The sequence below is a fragment of the Homo sapiens genome, chromosome 6 (assembly GCF_000001405.40).
Source record: "Homo sapiens chromosome 6, GRCh38.p14 Primary Assembly".
Taxonomy (NCBI): domain Eukaryota; kingdom Metazoa; phylum Chordata; class Mammalia; order Primates; family Hominidae; genus Homo; species Homo sapiens.
In genome coordinates this window covers 72,627,020-72,646,787 of record NC_000006.12, presented here as the reverse complement: position 1 = coordinate 72,646,787, position 19,768 = coordinate 72,627,020, and the positions used below count along the sequence as shown (strand labels likewise).

General features: G+C 37.3%; 1 protein-coding gene and 1 long non-coding RNA gene across 10 annotated transcripts in view; both read right to left on the bottom strand.

Moving 5' to 3' along the window:
- KCNQ5-IT1 (KCNQ5 intronic transcript 1) overlaps positions 1-16,293 on the bottom strand; it is a 48,064-nt gene extending 31,771 nt beyond the window's left edge. Inside the window, exons 1-2 of the long non-coding RNA NR_120503.1 lie at positions 16,197-16,293; positions 5,914-6,054 (exon numbers count right to left, since the gene is read on the bottom strand). This is a non-coding gene — a long non-coding RNA (KCNQ5 intronic transcript 1). The remainder of the gene's footprint in view (positions 1-5,913; positions 6,055-16,196) is intronic.
- KCNQ5 (potassium voltage-gated channel subfamily Q member 5) overlaps positions 1-19,768 on the bottom strand; it is a 576,790-nt gene that overhangs the window by 552,066 nt on the left and 4,956 nt on the right. The gene's annotated exons all lie outside the window — the stretch shown is intronic.

Genomic DNA, 19,768 nt, shown 5'->3' with positions numbered 1-19,768 from the left:
TAAATGAGATGATGTACCTAAGCTGTGCACTTGCCCTTGGGCAGCACCCTGCAATGTATGCTTATGGGCAAATGACATTAAACCAATCACAGAGAAATTGACCCCAGGCCAGAAGGCACCCTTAAACTCAAACAAGGCTGGATTGGCAGAACATATATCAGCCATACACAGGGTTTGATCAGAAAAGGTCCCTTTAGTTTTACTGAAAGCTTCTGTCTACCCATGCAACAGTAAACTATGTAGACCAATAGATAACCATATGCTTTTTTTTCCCCCAAATCCATGTGGTTTTTCAGACATAAGATCAGCAATAACTACAATCTGTTCCACTTGTGGATAACTGTCATATTTGGTAAGGAAAATAAACATATAAGAAATTTTAGTATTTTTATTTTTAGAGGTCCATACATTTACAAAATTTATTTTTAAAATAAACTCATCATTTGCTGCTAAAGTTATTCTTTATAAGCCTGTTGACTTTTTTTTATCAAATGAAGATGTATTTTTCACAGTTTCATTATATATGTATATATATATGTGTATATGTATACAAACATATTTAAAAGACAATATTCTCAATATTTGAGAAGATGTAGTATGATGGATGGGATCCTGCTGTCAGAAACCCAATTATACAGAGATTTGAATTATTTCAGATTACAGATTAACAATGGACATAGGGTGATAGTCCATGGGATACCATTAATATGAATGTATTCCATCTATAATTGGGCATGCCTTATACATCATTTTCTTGATTTACTGTCAGTCAGCTTGGCTTCAGCTTGCAATTAACTAGGGGCACAGTACATCACATGAAGTACCTGGGGGGAAGTGGAAATCTCTACATTCATTAAGAAAAAATGCCTTTCAGGGAGGTAAGTAGTTACATTCTCTTCAGGCTTTTCTTTCATTAAAGGACTCACCATGACATATGCAAAGAAAGAAACAAACAAAAATTAAAACCTTTTCCAATCTTCTAAATTACAAGTTAAAAATAGCAAGATTTCAAACTCATTCAAGAAGCCAAGCATGATAAGGACAAACCACAACTGAATGCTCTTGAGTCTGGACATCCTGAGGAAGGTGAGATCCAAGAACTCTGAGTGGGCCCAGCGCAAAGCCAGTGAGGACCAAACCCAGAGACTCACTACCTCTTCCCTTCCTCTCCTTTCTATGAGGGAGATGCAGGTAGACTAAAAACGGGAATTCAACCTGAAGAGAATTTCCATACCATATGTCATATGCTGACTTAATACTTATTGTTATATTATTAATATTATTCATTTCCTACTTATTAAACTTCCATTCTGGCAACCTGCAATAAGAATGTAAGTAAGAGTATTTGGTGGGGTTTTTTATTGATTTGTTTTGTGTGTATGTGTGTTTTTTTTTTTTCCTTGAGACAAGGTCTTGCTGTATCACCCAGGCTGGAGTGCAGTGGCATCATCATTGTTCACTGCAGCTGCAAACTCCTGAGCTCAGGTGATCCTCCCTCCACAGCCTCCCAAGTAGCTAGGACTAGGGCATGCACCCACCATACGCAGCTACTATGTTTTTTTTGTTTTTTTTTGTTTTTTTTTGGTGACAAGGTCTCACTATATAGCCCAGATTGATCTTAAAATCCAGGCTCCAACACAATCCACTCACCTCAGCCTCTCACAGTGCTAAGATTACAGGCATGAGCCACTGTGCATGACCCCTAAGTAAGAGTATTTGACAGACAAAAGGTACCCAAAGTCCAGGCCATCCCAGCATGCTGGGATATGGGGTAATATTATGTGACACAAATTACCCTGAGAACTCATGTTCTAAGTGTCATACTTAGCATTTGTAAAATACTCCTAATTTGCAAAATTATGTAGACCAACTTTTCCAGGAGCCTGATTCAGAGAATATTCACTATGAGCAATTTGGCTCAAATAAAACCTTGTCCCTAGAGTTCTTCAGAAAATGCACTGGCTTGCTGAGAGAATGACGATGATAGTGATGGTGGGAGAAAAGGAGGAGACAGAGAATAAGAAGGACTACGGGATGCACACAGTAAAAAAGTCATGTAGGGCAAAGAGGGTTATGATAAAAGGTGCACCTTGTCTCATTCCTTCCCCACAGCCCTATTCGCTAAAGATAACTTTCATCTAGTAGTTTAATCCTTCCAGAAACTTTCCATTTATATACATGCATACATGCTGTCTATGTATTGCTGATCCTCATTATTTGTGGATTTCATATTTGAGAATTTATCTACTCAAAATTGATTTGTAACCTCTAAGTTAATACAGCACTTTTGAGGTCATTTGCAGACATGTGCAGACCAGCCAAAAATTTGAACCTCTCCTCTCACATATGTTCCCAGCTAACACTGAACCAGACTGAAGGGTGATCTAGCATTCCTAAGCACAGGAAGGCTGTGATGTGCCTTACGGAGAAAATATGTGTAAGATAAACAACATTCAGGTATGACTTACAAACTGTGAGTTCAGTGTTAATGAATCAACAATATATATTAAATAATGTATCTTTAAACAGAAACACACATAAAATAAGGTTATGTATTGATCCATTGATGAAAATGTTATGACCAAAGGCTCATAGGACCTAACCCTGTATTTCCACTAGGAGCAATGAGTCGGTATTTGCTAATTCAGTATTTGCAGTGACCTTATGGAACAGAATGAGAACAACCTACTATGTGTGTATTTTTTAATTTACAAAGTGTATACCTGTTATGTGCTGTACATACTGGTTTATACCTTGTGTGTTTTTTTTTCATTTTAGAAATCATGCTATACCATGTCATACATATCCACCTCATTCTTTTCAAAGGATGCAGTATTCCCTTGGACAGTTTTGCCATCATTGATTTAACTAGATGCTAATAACATAGTTTTATGTTTTTTCTAGACTTTTAAAATTAGAAAACAATGTTTCAGGGAACATTCTTATGCTTACATCTTTGCAAACTATCTAAATTAAAGAAATCTCTAAATTAAAGAAAATTCTGGTTTCTGTGACAAATACATAACAGCTGTGGCTGTCTTTAGGAGACATCAAAAAGTTTAACAGATTGATAGGTTTGAGTATCCCTTATCTGAAATGCTTGTGACCAGAAGTGTTTTGGCCTCTCCAGGTTTTTTTTGAAAATTTGAAATATTTGCAGACACTTACTGTTTGAGCATCCCTAATCCAAAATCCAAAATCTGAAATGCTCCGATGAGCATTTCCTTTGAGAATCATGCCAGCACTCAAAAAGTTACATATTTTGGAGTATTTTGGATTTCAGACTTTTGGATTAAGGATACTCAATCTGTACTACATAGGGTGCAGACTTGTCCTGTGAATTTAATGTGGCTGAACAGCAGCACCACACTGAGGATGTTTAGCACACATCAAATAATTAGACTTCCTTTGGTATGTGAAGTCAGGGTTAAATAACTGCAGGGTGCCTTTAACTGAGGATCAATGGAAAATGCTCTGTGTTTGTGTACAAATCTCCATGACCAAAGGAGGCCTTTTTTAAAATAACTTTTAAGTTCAGGGGTACATGTGCAGGTTTGTTATTTAGGTAAACTCTTGTCACAGGGGTTTGTTGTACAGATTTATTTTGTTACCCAGGTACTAAGCCTAGGACCCAATAGTTATTTTTTCTGTTCCTCTCCCTCCTCCCAACTTCCACCCTCAAGTAGACTCCAGTGTCTGTTGTTCCCTTCTTTGCATCCACGTGTTTTCATCATTTAGCTCCCACTTATAAGTGAGAACATGCAATATTTGGTTTTCTATTATTGTGTTAGTTTGCTAAGGTTGATGGCCTCCAGGTCCATCCATGTTCCTGCAAAGGATATAAGCTCATTCTTTTTTATGTCTGTGTAGTAGTCCATAGAATACATGTACCACATTTTCTTTATCCAGTCTACCACTGATGGGCATTTAGTTTGACTCCATGTCTTTGCTATTGTCAATAGTGTTACAATGAACATACGTGTACATGTGTCTTTATGGCAGAACCATTTATATTCCTTTGGGTACATATCCAGTAATGGGATTTCTGGGTTGAATGGCAGCTCTATGTTTAGTTCTTTGAGAAATCATCATACTGCTTTCCACAATGATTGCACTAATTTACACTCCCACCAACAGGTTATGAGAGTTCCCTTTTCTCCACAACATTGCCAGCATCTGTTATTTTTAGACATTTTAACAATAGCCATTCTGACTGGTGTGAGATGGTATCTCATTGTGGTTTTGATTTGCATTTCTCTAATGATCAGTGACATTTAGCATTTTTTTCATATGTTTGTTGGCCACATATATATTTTCTTTTGAAAAGTATCTGTTTGCTGGACTTAATGCCTGGGTGATAGGGTTGATCTGTGCAGCAAACCACTGTGGCACACGTTTACCTATGTAACAAACCTGCACATCCTGCACATGTACCCCAGAACTTAAAATAAAAGTTGATAAATAAATAAATAAGAATTTAAAAAGAAAAGTGTCTGTTCATATCCCTTGCTCATTTTAAAAAACAAAACAAAATGTTTAATGGGCAAAGGATATGTGTGTTTGTTTTTTACTCGCAAAATGTTTGTTTTTCACTTGTAAATTTGGGAGGCCTTTTTAACACGCTCTTTATCTAGTAGGGCCAAGCTAACCCTCTTCCCTAGGACAAATAGCAATAGCCATGTATAATAACAAGGGGAATTAAGCCTCTACTGCCTTACATCCCCCTTCCCTTCCCCAAGCTGTGTTTGGGTAATAAACGAAGTAGCTCTGAATCAGGACCATCAGCGTGGAGGTTAAGAAAACTGAGAGAAAAGATTGTAGATATTCAAAAATTGTGAGAGTAATGAGGCGTAGAGAATTGTTCATAAAAATAAAGGAGAACCCTTCATTTTCTCCAGTCACCTCTCTGTCTCAAAAGTGTCTCAGATAAATAGGAAATGCCTGAAGAAGCACACACAGTACACTTCAACCTCTCAGTGCACGTACATGACCCAGGCAGAAAATGGTCAATTATTGGCCAACAATTTTAGATACCAAAATTCTTTTCTCCTTCATAATTCATTCATGAAACCATCACCTTTCTAATGATAATATTAACAATTAAAAAGTATATTAATATAGACAAATATGAGGAGGGAGAACCAAATTCACATTAATTTTAACCATTTTCTCTCTCTCACACACACACACACAAAATAGTGTGCTTGCAAAGCTGAAGATATGCCTTACCTCTCAAGCAGGGCAGGATTTTCAAGAGTTAGGGTCAAATCCAGCTGCTCCTACTTACGTCTGTCTTGGTTCAGGCTCTTTGGGGCATATAAACAGAGTGGTAGGCCTGTTTAACATGGCAGATTTAAAGACTGCACAGATGTTTCTGCTTATTTGAATGTCTGGATGAATACATTTGCCTTGCCCTAATGAATTTACCAAGTGTAATGAAATTGTGTGTGAAATAATAAATGTATTTTTGTGTGTGTGTGTGATGCTGATGATGATTTTGGATTCCTCATGTAACATTTATACATACTCTTTCCCACTCCCACTTGCTTGATTTCAGGAAATATTTCTCACATTTTCATATCTGGAAAGAAACCACAGTGCTGCAACTGAATGGGCTAAATACTAATTTGTTTCTTACTTGATCTATTCACTTATTAGATCCTTTAAAGAACAAGTCAATATATGGTTTAACTCCAAGAAAAACACCGTCTTCAGAATTTAACTTCCTTAGAAGAAAGAAAAGTCATGGAAATTACTATCTTTTGCCAGCTATTAGAAGTTTATAAAAGGGAAAAATATTTTCCCTGTTAGCACTACAATGCTTATTTAAAGAATATTCTTCATGGAACAGTTGAACAAACAATAGTATTTAAAATGAATGTCAATATTCATTTATTAAGAATTATAGAGTACCTTTGGTAGAGGAAGGTAAGTAAGGAAGGTCACAGATCTACAACTGAAGTCATTTCTATACAGGATTGACCACCAATGCTGGCTCCAATAGTACTTGATCCTGAGGAAGCTACTTAACATTTTTGCAGGCTGTTTTCCCATCTAAAAAAGATAGCACTAGAGTTGGTCACCAAAGGTCCTTCCAGCTCTCTAATCCTATTACTTAAATGTGTCAAAGCAGTAGTTCCTGCTTTAAGAGTGTGTTTTTATCTATACACTCAAAAATAAAGAGATTATAAAATATGGCTTGATTTCTGAAGAAAAATCTTTTTGTTCAAGCTCACAGAACTTGTACACACAACAGGAAATATCTGGCTCTATAATCTTGGCACCAAATACAATGTTGTTGTTAAATAAGTGTTATGCTAATTCACTTATTCACTTATTTATTCGTTGAACACATGTTTTTTCACATGTGTCTATTATTGCAGCATTTCCTCCTCTGAAGAGGCTATAGACTATATATGGTTACAAAGTATAAAAATTACTTTTTTTTTTTTTGCCCAGCAATTATATAAGGAGCTTTAACACTTTGTCTCCTTATTTCCACATTTATCAGATGGTTGGTGCTTGGAGGGGTTTACGATTTGCCCAAGGTCAAGGTCACACATGTTCAGTGTGTGTGACTTCTAGAAAATTTCTCATTCCCTTTACTTTGGCTACAAAGTTGCCAGCCTTGGGTTAGGGCTCCATCTGCTTTTTAAAATTTACCCTGCACACTACTGTTAGAGAAATTCTCACAATCTCACACACCAGGTAGCCTTCTACGTGATCATGCCTGAACTCTATCAGGGCCTTTGCAGTTGTCAAGACATCGCGTTATTTATCTCTTAATGTTGCCTTATCATAGCTCCCAATGTTGCCATTCCAAACTTTTTTTTTAACCAACCTAAACTTTTATTTACCATAACTCCAGGATCTTGTTATTCTCAATTACTTTAATCTTTCCACTTCTCAGGGAAGGGGGTTCCTGAGGCTTTTTTATTTGTACAGACCTCCAGCTGCTTGGAGAAATAAAAGTTTAGCTTTACTTTGTTGATTCCTAATCTACCATTCTCCCTCTCTCTTTACCCATTTATTTATCAATTATGCACCCTAATCTGTCTCCCTTCTCCCCTGCAAGCACCGTTTGGTGCATTATCTCAAGCTCTTTAGAACTGCTTTGCACTTATCAGCATCTCTCTTAGAGACTGCAAGATTGCTTTCCAACCAGATATCCCTGGTTTCATTCGAGGCTCTCTAAATATCACCCTCTCTTCTGGAGTCCCCATCCTAGTTATACAGTGATACTTTCAGGGACACCCCTCACCCTGCATGGTCCCTTTTGAAAAACTGATTGCTATGTCTGCACACCACCTAGTTGCTGGGTTGTTCTGGCCTTTTTTTCCAGGACATCATGTTTCCTGTGAAATTGGATGTCCTCCTAACACATGGCACTGCACATGCTGTCCACTCCTAGATGGCAAAGTTTTCTTCTAGGTTCTGGCCCCTCGCCTTCTATCCTGGCTTTCTACATCATCACACATTTTCACTTCTTTTCTTTGTAATACTTTTATCCCATTGCAATCCTTTGAGAGACAGTCTTCCTGTGGATGTTGTATTTTCCTAGTTTTTCTCTTCTTTGTCCCTTTTGCAAATCTTTCTCTTCTCATTTCCCAAGATGCCAGTATTCCCTAAATCTTTTTCCATACACTCTTCTCCAAGGACCTTATTTCTTCTCCATCACTCTACATTGGTAACTGATGATCCCCTGTCTTTCCCAAAGCCCAAACAGGCCACATGTCTACTTGTGCTTGTTCTTTACCTAAAACAGAATTGAGTAACTTCTGCGTGGTCACAGTCACACTTGCTTGGAACCAAGAACATTTTGATTCTTTCATCTCTTTTGCCAACCAGAAGCCAATGGAGAGCTAAGAACTCCAGTCCTCCCTTTGAATTTTCTCCTATTCTCCGTTTCTGCACATTCCCAGGGCTGACACTGCAGTCCAGGTCCTTGTCATGCTGCACTGCCGCTCCACTACCAGATGCTTACTGTAGAGCAACCACTAACTTTACATGTCACCCTTGAAACAAGTACAAAAACATAACAGATTTATTGTGAATAGCTCTTTTAAATATATTATCATGTGCTCCAGAAATCTATACTAAGATTGCAGTGTGGAAAGGGAATTTGAATCAACAAGAAACCAAAAAAAAAATAGGTATTTGCCTTTAACCTGTTTTGGAGAAAAAAAGTACAATCCTTCATGATGACAATTTTAAATTATGATAGCTACCCTTCAATTAGAGGAATATTCTGTCTTCTCCAGTACAACGTGATGGTTTGATTATTCTTATTTATGGTTGTCTAGGCTACCTCACTTAGCGCCATCTATAAATGTATTTTTATTATCCACTTCCTGCCCTGAAGCCTGGAAGAAAACTCCATACCCACTAGCTCTGGAAAACAGCTCTCAGCAGCATGACCCAACTAGTTTAGGAAATGTAATTGTAAAGTAGCTCATCAAGTCCAATACTAGATGTAAAAGATCTGGAACCATGTAAGGCAATCTTTCCTGCTAGAGATACTGTGAAACTCTAACTTCCAATTTCAGAGGAATAACTGGAGCCATTCTACTGAGTGAAAGGAATAATGGGCTACTGAAGCATGGCCCAACCAAACTGGTAGCCTGAACTACTGTATAGGAGTCCACACGATTGGCACAAATATGATGACTACATAGTTTTCTTTCCTATTATGCTTCCTGTCCTACCTTTGGAAGGATTGCAGGACGATCTCAGTGCACAACTAAAGTAGGACCTACATAACTAGGGTAGCTGCTTCGTTTGGGAAGATCCTAACCCATCTCATTTTGTTTATTCCTTGATGGATCTGAAGCTAAGGGAACTTACCCGGGTTTCTTCTAGAGAAAAATACTTGAAGGCAAATTTGAATGTTCGAGCTTGTTAAAACTGTTTCCCCAAAACAAACTGTAATTTCTTCTATGTCAAGGACTAGATGAATAAGAGTAGGTGCTCCTTGGGTTCAGGATCCTATCTTGAAGGTTCTAAGTGAGTTCCCAAATGTCATTTGGATTGCCAATCAATTTCTCTGCCTTTTCCATTTGACATACCAAAACAGAACTATAGAATTTTATCATCAGGCATGATAAATTTAAAACTAGTTTAATCTCACTTTGCAATTCTTTAATCTGACTGCTGATCTAGGTCTGAAATCCATTTGAAGTATGTAGTCTTTAAAAGATGGATAAAAAGCACTTTAGAGATTGCAATGAACACACATTTCTAACACTTTTTGACCTTAGCTGCACTGGGAAGTACCACTCTTAGTTGAAGAAAAAAGCCATTTTCCACATGACTGGAGAAAGTTGAACAAATGGAAGAAGTGTTTCCAAAGTGTTCCAATAACACAATATGCAGTGGGCACTCACTCATTCAATATTTGAGTGTCCACTGCATATTGTGTTCTTGGAAGGCTAGGTATAATATTTTCCTTTCATGTAATAGAATTAAGTGAACAATATTAGAAGCTTAAAGTGTATACTGAAAATAAACAGACACTTCATTTTGTTAAAAAAAAACACAACTTTTGGTTTATACTGTTGTTCTTAACCCATTTAGGGAGAAAAAAATAACATCTCCAAACAAAGTATTATGAAACAGCATTGGTTTCTTTCTTATTTTTTAAAATACTTTGGAGCAAATTAAACATACTCAGAATGTTTTATTAACTAGAACATTTAGTTTAACTAGTTTAATTACTACTGTTTAGAAATTACTATGATGAGTGGGAACTCCTGTGTTGGTCTCAGTGTGGGAATGCCCTGAGCAGAACGCCCACTTGCACAGGCAGCTGAACGCCGAGCTCCAAAGTTTCCCAAGGGGTCAAGAGAACTGGCAATCAGCAGTTCTGTACATGGTGATCCTGGAGTTTACCTTGTAAATCCCTTCAAAAGGAGCAATAGCTAAATGCCACTGGAGAAAGGCCAAACTTTGCTTTTATCCTAAGTCAATTCAGAGAGATGGTTTTTGAGGCTCAGTAAACAGTAAATGAATATCTTTCTAGATGAAAATTTCTTGAGGGAATATGCTATGTCTTATTTATGTTAAGCCCTATAGTTCCTACTCTAGGGTCTTACACTTAGCAAGAGGTCAGGTTATTAAACAAACATTGAAGAATTATATCCTAATTTTACAAACCAGAAAGCTGAGAAATGTAGCCAATGACTCAAAACACGGGGAGAAGAATCTAAATTCTCAACTCCATTCAATCCTCCTAGATTCATTCAGGTGTGAGAGAAAACAGGTTTAGAGAAATAGAAGCCTTAAACTTGTTTTTCATTCTAGAAAAGGTTATGAGAATCGCTTTCACAAGGTCTATGCTTTGGAAACATTTTCAACCAGAAAAAAATGCAGGTGGTTTTCTATCTCCTATGTACTCCTATGATACATTTGCATTTTGAGACCATGCTTTAACCTCTCAATAAAACAGAAAAAGTACAGCTCTGTGATGCCAGATTATAGATCTATTCTTGGCTCACTGAGTAAAGAAACTCCTAATGATTATAACAGCCACTGGGGTAAATATTTTTAACTGATATTTAACTATGTTACAAATATATTTGGACTTCTTTATTGTGCATTTTTATATAATAATTCCACATGGCATAAAAACTAATTTCTAATTTATTTCTTAACTATATACTTCCAAAGTATATAGTCAACTTTCAAAGTAGTCAACTTCCAAAACAGAAGGTAAAAACTTTTAAAATTATTCACTGAATATCTGACTATTCCCAAATTTCAGAAATAATATATAGATATTAGAAAACTTCAGCGATTTTAAGGCTTCACTCCTTATTTTCTAAGAAATTTGAGCATAACTAAAACCCTAAGAAAAATAGGGTTCTCCCCTTATATTTCTAAAATCCACATTTTCTAGAAGTCTCTATTAATTACCATAGAGCAATATGTAAATTAGGTACCCAGTCTACGTAGGCAGTACACTCTTAGAGCATGTAATTAGAAATTCAATGCATCTCTTAAGAACAGACAGCTTTCAGAGGAAAAGAAAGCAACATTTTGTACAAAGAAATGGGGAGAAACACCATTCCAGAAAGGTAGAAGCACAGAGAGAAAGGAAAAAAAAAAAAAAAAAAAAAAAACTAGGAGCAATTTAACTGGAAGAAAAATACAATAAGACCAAGGGGAAAGGGAAAGTAAGAAACATCCAGGGAAAATGTAAATGTGGAAGGGGAGAGAGAAAAGCATGGAAGCTGAATGAAATGTATTCACACTAGTGTAAAGAAAATGAGTATTTATTATTTTAAAGAGAAGAAAAAAATCAAAAAATCAGTTTGGAGTAAACATGTTCTATATTCAGCCATTATGAGACTTAAACAAAGCAATGATGCTATTTTGTAGTGAATCTTAGGTATTCCATGATGACTGTATAAATTGGGAATTTAATGTTTATAGGAAATTACATTAAGAAATTATTATTCAGGGCCAAGCACAGCAGCTCATTCCTATAATCCCAGCACTTTGTGAGGCCAAGGCGGGAGGATTGCTTGAGCCCAGGAGTTCAAAACCAGCCTGAGCAACATAGTGAGACCCTGTCTCTACAAATAATAAAAAAAAAATTAGCTGGGCATGGTGGTCTGTGCCTGTGGTCTCAGCTACTCAAGAGGCTGAGGTGGGAGAATTGCTTGAGTGTGGGTGATGGAGGCTGCAGTGAGCTGTGATTGTACAACTGCACTCTAGCCTGGGTGACAGAGACTCTGTCTCAAAAAAAAAAAAAAGGGTGAGGGGAACAAATTATTATTCAGATAATCAATATAAGTTGCTACGCAATACGAACTAGTAGAATTTAAGGAAATTCCTGTTTGGAAATATAAAGTTAAAACATTCAAATAGTTCCACTAGTGGTAATAAGCTAGGTGAATTTTGATTAAAAATAAAGAATGAAGGCCGGGCGCAGTGGCTCACGCCTGTAATCCCAGCACTTTGGGAGGCTGAGGCAGGTGGATCACCTGAGGTCAGGAGTTCGAGACCAGCCTGGTCAACATAACAAAACCCCATCTCTACTAAAAATACAAAAATATTAGCCAGGCGTGGTGGCGGGAGCCTATAATCCCAGCTACTCGGGAGGCTGAGGCAGGAGAATTGCTTGAACCTGGGAGGTGGAGGTTGCAGTGAGCCGAAATCACACCACTGCACTCCAGCCTGGGCAACAGAGTGACTCTCTGTCTCTAAAACAAACAAACAAACAAAAGCAAACAAACAAAACCAAAAGAATGAAAACCTGGGCATAATGCCCTATATAGGATACAAAAAAAGAGGGTACTTTGGTTTCTTTACATACACAAACTATTTGCAAAGAATTAGATAAAAACCAAATTAGAATACAATGTAATAATGTAATTAAGGAATAAAATACATAATCCAAATAATAAAGGCTATGGGAGGTGCATAATGATAAGAAAATAAGCTAGCACGTCAGAAAAATATTTAAAGAAAAATTAGAACTTAAGCTGGTTAGAATGTGAAGGCAGAGAAACAAACATGCTTAGTACAAAGTTAAAAGTAATTCCTTGATTCTAGGTAATAAGGCATTTTAACTATAATTCATTTATTCAACAAACATTTATTGTGCATACACTATTTTGCTGAGAGCTATACTAGACCCCAAAGTAGTTTTTATAATTACTCTACCCATCTGATATGAGGAGCCCTGGGCCCACACGTACCATCCACAATCAAGATTATAGCAGCCTAAGCTCTTTAGTTTAATTAGGTCCCACTTGTCAATTCTTGGTTTTGCTTCAGTTGCTTTTGGGGACTTAGTCAAAAATTCTTTGCCAAGGCTGATGTTGAGAAAACTATTTCTTAGGTTCTCTTCTAGGATTTTTCTAGTTTGAGGTCTTATATTTAAATCTTTAATCCATCTTGAGATAATTTTTGTATATGGTGAAAGGTAGGGGTCCAGTTTAATTCTTCTGCATATGGCTAGCCAGTTATCCCAGCACCATTTATTGAACTGGGGAGCCCTCTCCCCATTACTTGTTTTTGTTGGCCTTATTGAAGATCAGATCGTAAGTGTGCCACTTTATTTCTGAATTTTCTATTCTGTTCCATTGATCTATGTGTCTGTTTTTGTATGAGTACCACACTGTTTTGTTTGGTATAGCCTTATAGTTTGAAGTCAGATAGTGATGCCTCCAGCTTTGTTCTTTTTGCTTAGGATTGCTTTGGCTATTCGGGTTCTTTTTTGGTTCCATATGAATGTTAGAATAGTTTTATCTAATTCTGTGAAGAATGGCATTGTAGTTTGACAGGAATAACATTGAATCTGTAAATTGCTTTGGGCAGTGTGGCCATGTTAACAATATTGATTCTTCCAATCCATGAGCATGGAATGTTTTTCCATTTATTTGTGTCGTCTCCGATTTATAAACAGACAACTTACAAAATGGGAGAAAATATTCACAATCTATGCATCTGACAAAGCTCTAATATCCGAAGTCTATGAACTTAAACAAATCAACAAGCAAAAAACAACCCCATTAAAAAGTGGGCAAAGAACATGAACAGACACTTCTCAAAAGAAGACATACGAGTGGCCCCCAAGCATATGAAAAAATGCTCATCATCACTAATCCTCAGAGAAGTTCAAATCAAAACCACAATGAGATACCACCTCATACCATCAGAATGATTATTATTAAAAAGCCAAAAAACAACAGATGCTGGTGAGACTGCAGAGAAAAGGGACCACCTATACACTGTTAGTGGGAATGTAAATTAGTTGAGTCACTGTGGAAAGCAATTTGGAGATTTCTCAAATAAATTAAAACAGAACTACCATTTCACCCAGCAATCCCATTACTGGGTATATACCCAAAGGAAATAGATCATCATACCAAAAAGACACACACACTCATATGTTCATTGCCATGCTACTCACAATAGCAAGGACATGGAATCAACCTAGGTGCCCATCAATGGTGGTTTGGATAAAAAAAAAAAATGGTACATATACACCATAGAATTCTATGCAGCCATAAAAAAGAATGAAATCATGTCCTTTGCCGCAACATGGATGTAGCTGGAAGCGATAATCCTAAGTGAATTAATGTAAGAAAAGAAAACCAAGTACCACATATTCTCACTTAGAAGTGTGAAGATAAATACTAAGCACATAAAGATGTAAACATGGGAACAATATACACTTGGGACTACTAGAAGCGGGAGGAAGAGAAGAGCCATGGGTTGAAAAACTAACAATTGGGTACTATGCTCACTACCTGGATGCAATATACCCATGTAACAAACCTGCACAAGTACCCCCGTCTCTAAAATAAAAGTTGATTTTTTAAAAAAAGAAAAAAAAACTGGCCAGGCGCGGTGGCTCACGCCTGTAATCCCAGCACTTTGGGAGGCTGAGGCGGGCGGATCACGAGGTCAGGAGATGGAGACCATCCTGGCTAACACGGTGAAACCCCGTCTCTACTAAAAATACAAAAACAAAATTAGCCAGGGGTGGTCGCGGGCGCCTGTAGTCCCTGCTACTTGGGAGGCTGAGGCGGGAGAATGGTGTGAACCCAGGAGGCGGAGCTTGCAGTGAGCGGGGATCGCGCCACCGAACTCCAGCCTGGGCAATAGAGTGAGACTCCGTCTCAAAAAAAAAAAAAAAAAGAAAGAAAGAAAGAAAAAATCTAAAACTCTAACAGGCAAAGTAAAGGAAATAAAATATAGTGGCTAAGCATGTGTGGCTCTCAGCCAACCTGCCTTGGTTCAAAGCCCTGTTCTGCCATTAACTCAGAAGCTGACTTTGGACAGGTTACTAAACCTCCCCCTACTTTGGTATTCTGGTTTGCTGAAAGGAAGATGATAACACTAATATTACTTATTAGGGTTATTCGGAGGAATAAAAGAATTAATGTGCATAAAGAATTTAGAACAATGTCCAGCACATAATCATTAAAATGACTATTATTTGTGATAAAAAAACTTCTTCTCTATAACTTTATTCTCTCTTGATTTTCCTTTTAGCCTTGTATTTCCTTGTAGCTAGTGTCCAATCTCCCTTTTATTCTTGCCAAACTAAGTGAACATATGGCCTAAATATGCTGTTTCCTCTCCTCACTTCTGATTCATTTCTCAGCTAACAGCAATCTGCCTCTGCCCTCACTGCTTCACTGAAGGTTAACACTGATGAGTTTATAACATCACTGAAGAATTCCACATTGCCAGATCCAATGGTAATTTCTGATGGATCTTTATCTTACTAAACCACTCTCTACATTTCAGAATTGGTTACTTTTATTTTTTTTTGAAACTCTCTCAATACCCTTTGTTTCCACAACCCTGACCATCTTTTTGTCTAGTGTTTCCTTATAGCCTCCTGTCTACTCCATTTCATTCCTTGTTTCCTTTGCTTATCAATTAAATGTTGGTATTCTCCAGATTTCCATCCTTGACCTCCTACCCTTTATCTTTATTTGCCTTCCTCGTGATTATAACTCCTGTCTGTATTTTATGTCTTTTAAATCATCATCCAAGAGCTGCTGTACATTTATAGTTGGAATTCCCACAGGCACCAAAAGCTCAGCATTTCCAAAGCTAAACTCATTTTATCACCCCTGCAATTCGCCAACCTGTTGTTCCACCTCTATTGATTTCAGTTAATAGCACCACTATTTACCCAAGCACCCAATCCAATAATCTGGAAATAACAAATCTGTATCTCTTAATCTTCCACATTCAATCATTCACTAATACATTTCAACTCTATTGTCACACCTTTCCCCCATCCTTCCTACCACTGCCCCAGTCTAAGTCCTAATTATCTCTTGCTTAAGTTGGAACAACAGTTTTAAAATTTATCCTCTACCTCCAGTTTTGTCTCCCTCAAGCCATCACTGATAGAGCTAGTAGAATCACCAATCTAAAATGGAAATCCAATGACATTATTATTTGCCTAAATCCTATCTTCCTCAAAGATTGCCCATCACATATAGGATAAAATCCTAGACCTTTATCATATAAATACAGCCTTCCAGCACATTGTCTCTATTTTTCCCTCTAGTTTCAGCGAGAGCCACCATGCTAACTGTTAATATGTATATATTAAACATTATGTACACATATACTATACATATAACACCTTGAAGTAATATTTTATTTCTATTTTATAGATTAAGAAACTGGTACTGATATTTTATAGATTAAGAAACTGGTACCTGTATAGGAAAAGTAAAGTTGATCATTAAATCTAAATCTGTCATATTCTCCAATGGATTTCTTTGAGGTCAGGTCCACATCGTTCCTTTCTTTGAACCACCAGCATCTAGCACATTACCTGGCATACATAATGGCTGTTAAGCAAATGTTAAACTAAATTGACTGTTCAAAAAGAGAAATGATGGATTATAACATTATAATTAGATTATCCAGCCACTGACTGAAGAAGGAATAGGGATTCTAGAATTACCTCACAGGTACAATAAATGAGAACAATGACCACTATGACTGAGTTTGTAAAAGGTGTATATCTCTTCATCATGTAAAAATTTAATTATCTTTCAAATTAAGAGATAAGCTCTATATTATCAAGAGTAAATTTAATGTTCTTTTTATTTCTAAATTGCATTTTATTCAAGTGTTTTTTACTTTTAGAGGATCAAAACAAAGGGAAATAGAAATATTTACACTAACACAAATTCTCTGCTAAAAGATAACAGTATGTATGTGCTTATGTTGCATGTGTATTTGTATGAGTATGAAATATATATGCACAATACACAAATGTATATGATGAAAAACTTCAAGCTATTTTTAAGTTTAGAAATTGATGACTTTAATAACATTTGGGAAGCTCACTCTTCAGACACACTGATTGCAAAGGATTAAAAGATCACCTGAAACTCTGAGACCATCAAAGAATTTCTTTAATTATGAAAAAAAGTGCAGATGTGTGGCCAATCTTTCTCCCAGGTTGCAACCAAATAAAACTTCAAATAACGCACTCATAAATGGCTGAAGAAAAAGGAAATTAAAATGAAAACACATACATATTAAAGATAACTATGAGCTGTGACTGTTCAACAATTGGGCTTCAAGTAGTTTCACACCATTGGGCTAGGATAAAACATGCTCTGCTGGCATTTTCATCTGCCAAAATAGCCATTTGCAATTAAAAATTAAAACTGGCGCTACTTCTTTGCAAGCAATTTTCAGAAGGCTGCTGGCTATCTTTCTTGTTTATAGTGTTTTTTTGTATCAGTCCTTCGTTTCATTTTGAAATACCCTTTTCATTTCTTTCCTTTTAGGCTATCATATTCCCAGTACTAATATTGTAACACTTTTCAACATTTCTAATTGTAATATGGTCTTCAAGTACAATAGCATTGTTTAGATTTCTAAAGACTGATTAGAAGAGTATGAAACATTTTATATATCAGCACAGTATAAAGCAGTATAACTTCTACAAGGCCTCTGTAGACTTAAGAGAAATCAGTGATTTTTTAAAGGAATGCAGGAGCAAAAAGAATATGTAAACATCAGTCTCTACAGACATAAACTTAATTCAGAATAGAATATATATGTAGGTAGTAAAGTAATTCATTAGGTCTAATTGAGTCTGACACATAGAATGGCCAACAGAGTAAAATTCCATCTGCCACAAGGGAACTAATAGTGTATTTTGGAGATCTGGGGTGTCAGTAAATGAATCAGTATGTATGCATGGAGCATCTTTTATGTGACAGGCAGTGTTCTGGGTGCTGGTGATATAATAATAAGACAGAAACCCCTGCCTTTAAAGAATTGGGGTTGAGGGGAGAGACAAGCAATAAACAGATCCTCCTCCAAGCAGAGGAGGAGTGATGTGTTCTGTTAAGTCTTTAGGAAGATCACTTTGGGCCAGGTGTGGTGGCTCATGCCTGTAATCCCAGCACTTTGGGAGGCTGAGGTGGGCAGACCACTTGAGGTCAGGAGAATGAGACCAGCCTGGCCAACATAGCGAAACCCCATCTCTACTAAAAATACAAAAACAATTAGCCAGGTATGGTGGCGCACGTCTGTAATCCCAGCTACTCAGGAGGCTGAGGCAGCAAAATCGCTTGAACTTGGGAAGCTGAGGTTGGAGTGAGCTGAGATCACACCACTGCACTCCAGCCTGGGCAACGGAGTGAGGCTCCATCTCAAACTAACAAAAAGAAAGAAAGAAAGATAACTTTGGCTACTATGTAGCACAGAGACCTTGGGGATTTAGGAATTAAGTTAAAGCAACTAGTTAAGAGGCAACCCTCAAGCTCAGAGAAGAGGAAAGGAAATGATAAAAGGATCAGATTGCTTCTTATTCCAAATACTCTTTCTCTTTAATGATAGCATTTTAGACTCTCTACAGTATCCTCCACCATCTCGGATCACAGACACGATTGTGCCCATATCACAGATGAAGATTTGGAGACCCAGATGTGTGAAATGACTTACAGAATTAATTAGTGGCAAAGCTACAAGCAAAGCACTAATCTCCTACTTCTAGTCCCATATCTTTTTTCTTTTAAATGAATCGTCAGTATCTTACGTCTAAGAAAACTGAAAAGACTTGGTAGTTCTTTCAGCTTCGGCTCACCCTGAAGCTCCTCTGTGGAAGGCTTATAAGAAAAATTATTTACTTACTCAGTTAAGCATGCATTTATGGAGGGTCTACTAGACACAAGGCACCTTGTTAGGCACTTAATATTTAGAAATAAGTAGAAATTTCACTGTATGGAAGCTTGCTGTCATGTGGGAGAGACAGACCAAGTAGCCCACGATGACAGTACAATGGGGGAAGCACCATTATAATGACATTGGTAGAGTGCCATGGAACCTGAAAGAAGGGGCACCTAACTCATCCTGGCAGAGGGAAGGGAACTGTTTGGAAATATGCCCAAGAGGAAGTGATCTTTGAACTGTACTTTGAAGAAACATTAGGAGTTTAATAGCAAGGGTGCAAGATGTGGGGAGAAGCCAAGAGAACAGCATGAGCAAACACATGGTGGTGAGACACAGGGTGGAGCAGTGCAGTAAGGGTGGGGCTTAGAGTGCATATTAGAGGGGAGTAGCTATATAGTAGTCTATGCCCTGAGGGTCTTGTGTGAACTCTTCCAAGGAATCTGGAGTCTAACCTACACTACTGGGTCCATTTTCCCAAGTCTTAACCACTCCTCAGTCCACTTGAATCATATTTATGACTCTTAGCACTCCACTGAAGCTGCAGCAGCAAAGGCCACCAGTGGCCTCCTTCATAAGAAATCCAATGAAATCTTACCTAACTTTTCTAGTCCTTTCTGCAGCATTGGAAACTGCTGGCCATAACCTTTTTTCCGTATGCATCTTCCTTTGCTTTCATGAAAATAAGATCTCCCAGGCTTTCCCTCGGCCTTTGGGTTGCTGTAAAGCTTTTCCCAGGTTCTTCCATTGGCTCTTACTTTTTCATCCACTGCTTGGTGTTGGTGTTCCCCAGTCTCTAGCCTCCACTATGCCCTCACTCACTCTATATATTCTTTGGACTATCTCATTTTTTCTACTTATTGCTTTAATTACCACAAAACTGACAGAGGCTTTCAAAGCTAAATATCTGGTTACATATTTAGATTAAACTCCAGATTTGTAAATGATTCCATTCATTCAAAAATATTTTATTGAGTGTTATCTATGTGCCAGAAACAGTTCTGGTTGCTGATCTAACGTGGTTGGAAATAGACTGTGCCTTGTTCACTGCTATGTTCCCACCACTTAAAATCTCCACCTGAATGACTCAAAA